The sequence below is a fragment of the Homo sapiens genome, chromosome 7, assembly GCF_000001405.40.
Source record: "Homo sapiens chromosome 7, GRCh38.p14 Primary Assembly".
In the NCBI taxonomy this organism is placed as follows: domain Eukaryota; kingdom Metazoa; phylum Chordata; class Mammalia; order Primates; family Hominidae; genus Homo; species Homo sapiens.
In genome coordinates, this window is record NC_000007.14 from 131,686,646 (window position 1) to 131,689,545 (window position 2,900).

Sequence of the window (2,900 nt, forward strand, 5' to 3'; positions counted from 1 at the left end):
TTCTCCTGCCTCAGCCTTCCGAGTAGCTGGGACTACAGTTGTGCATCACCTCCCTCGGCTAATTTTTGTTTTAGCAGAGATGGGGTTTTATCACGTTGGCCAGGCTGGTCTTGAACTCCTGACCTCAAGTGATCCACCTGCCTCAGCCTCCCAAAGTGCTGGGATTACAGGCATGAGCTACTGTGCCTAGCCTAGACCCAGTCTCTTAAAAAAAAAAGAGAAGGTATCTGCCCTCCAGAAGTTCCTGGTGGGATCCATGCTGAGTCAGAAGGGAGCACAGAGATTGAGGACCTAGCTCAGCTCAAAGCAGTCAGGGAAGCTTCCAGTGGGGAGGTGCTGTTTGCAGAGTCTATAAAAGACCCTGAAGTGGCCAGGCTGGGTGGTGCAGGGCTGGGGGTGGTGTCCAGCAAAGAGAAGCACATGTGAGGGGCAGAGGCAGGAGAGGTCTTGGTCAAGTGATTTTTTGAACCCAGGGAAAGGAGAGGTCTTGAAGAAGGGGAGATGCACACAGGAGAAAGTGAGATCTAGAAGTGAAATGGCAAAGAAGAGGATGGCCTGTCTCAAATACCTCCATTCTGCTGTCAACTTCATGCCTTGCCGGTCCTCCTTCCCCACCGCCCACATTCAACCACATGCCAAATCCTATCGGAGTTGTCTCCACAGCATCTGAGGATCTCCCGCCCCTGCCCCTTCCCTTCCATTGCCTCTGACTTTGCTGTCTGGCTGAGACCCCTGTGATAGCTTTTATGTTAGCTAGAATTCAGGTTCAGCTGCCGTGACAGAGACCCAAATAAGGGCGTACACGTGAGAGAAGTAGATTTCTCTTTCACAAGTAATGCCTGATGATAAGCAGTCCCAGGACAGTGTGACAGCCCCGTGACATCTTCCGTGTGGTGGCTCTGCTGTTCCTGCAGCATGCCCTTGATTACATGAGCCGGCACCCCTTGCCACCTCGCCCACAACCCAGCCAGCAGGAAGAGGTGCAAGAGCCATTCTCCTTCCTTTCAAAGCGTCACCTGGAAGCTGTTTATGTAGGTTCTACTCATGTGCCCCTAACCATATGGCCACATCTACCAGTGAGGAAGGCTAGGAAATACAGTTTGTATTTAGGGTAAACAAGTACTAAGATAAAAACCAAAGGTTTTTTTTTAGAATAAGGAGGGAAGGGCCGGGCACGGTGGCTCACACCTGTAATCCCAGCACTTTGGGAGGCCAAGGCGGGCAGATCATGAGATCAGGAGATCAAGACCATCCTGGCTAATGCAGTGAAACCCCGTCTCTACTAAAAATACAAAAAATCCGCCGGGCATGGTGGTGCATGCCTGCAGTCCCAGCTACTCAGGAGGCTGAGGCAGGAGAATAGCTTGAACCTGGGATATGGAGGTTGCAGTGAGCAGAGATCATGCCACTGCACCCCAGCCTGGGCGACAGAGCGAGACTCCATCTCAAAAAAAAAAAAAAAAAAAGGGAAGGGTGAGAGTGAGGGCCATGCGGTCACCCACCCCTCGTCTTGCCCTCCTCATCCGCCCTCTGTGTGGCTCTGAGAGTGCAGGTCCCATGCTCACATGGCGCTGTCTCAGCCTGCCTGGAAACACTCTCTATTCCTGAGTGGGCTGCCACTTCCAGCCTCCACACGTTTGCTCACGCTCTGCCTTCTGCTAGGGAAGCAACAGAATGGTGCCTTGAATGTGGCACCAGGTTCAAGTCACTTGCTAGCGATGAGACCCGGGGCTGTCTGCCCTAATGCTCTGACGCTCTATTATCTTTCAAAAGCAGGATAATATCAGCTTTAACTTCAGCATTAGGGCGAGGTGAGAATAGTGTAGGTAAAGGCGTGCTCAGTAGTGGTGGTTGTCACAGCCAGCATCCCCTCTGCTCCGTGCCGGGGAGCCTGCTCCCCCATCGGCCTAGGATTCAGGTCACTTTCCCCATGAATCCTCTCCCTGGGGCTCCCAGGCCCTGCTGTCCTCAGACGCTCTTCCTGGTTCAGCACCCAGCACGTTCTGCTCGGGTACCTCTTGCTGTGTCTGCCTTCCCTGGTAGACTGATTTGCAGCCTGTTCACCTCTGTTATTCTCTTTGCTCCTAGGACAATGTCTACTAAAGAGCAGAGCTGCTTGGTTAATGCCAGTTAAATTGAAGTCGGTTGAACCAAGGCCAGCAAGCAAATCCAGCAAGCCCAAGGAAGCAGAGGCTCAGAAACAGGCTGCCCAGAGCCTTGAAGCTGGTGGCCACAGCTGGGCATTTAGGGCCAGGTCAGCCTCTTACCTACGATCAGAGCCTTCAGTGGGGGAGGAGACCAGACTGGCAGGCAGGCAGCAGGGATGAGATCCAGGCAAGGAGACCCAGGGAGAAGGGGTCATGGTGCAGGGGAGGCCCAGTAGCATCAGGGGCAGGGCACCAGTTACGCAGAAGGAGCTGGACGCTAGGCCAGAAGGTCCCCGAATGCTGGGGTCAGAAAGGAGGTGGTCTTGATTTGTAGGAGGAGATAAGGGGAATGGGAGTGAGGGAGCAGAGAGCAACCTCCACCTTCAGTATGGCCCTGGAGGTGCAGGGCCCAGATACAGGATCCTGTGGGAAGAGGAACAGAGATTGAAGAGGCTCTGGAAGGAAAGGTGATTCCATTTGGGTTATGCAGGATGCACTGCTGGGATCTGTCCACCAGAGGGCAGGAGAGACCAACACATGAGGCAGGGATGGCCTCAGCCACAGAGCTGCAGGGGTTATTGGCTTCCCCTGGGGGACTGGGTGGACAGGAAGGTGTGGAGAGAATTGGATAGGGCGAGCCTAGGCCAGAATCTTCTTCTTCTCCTCAAGAAAGCCTCTTTAGACGGACATGTCCAGCCCCTGGGGTATACAGAGTGTGGCAGGAGTTGTCGGTGGGGGGGGGGGTGGGTTACT

The 2,900-nt window shown here is 54.0% G+C and overlaps 1 annotated feature.

Moving 5' to 3' along the window:
• Positions 2,635-2,684: a silencer, noted in NCBI's record as "silent region_18666". NCBI's record gives its function as "represses an Ori minimal core promoter by ATAC-STARR-seq in GM12878 lymphoblastoid cells {active_cell/tissue: GM12878}" and the evidence as "EXISTENCE:reporter gene assay evidence [ECO:0000049][PMID:35858748]".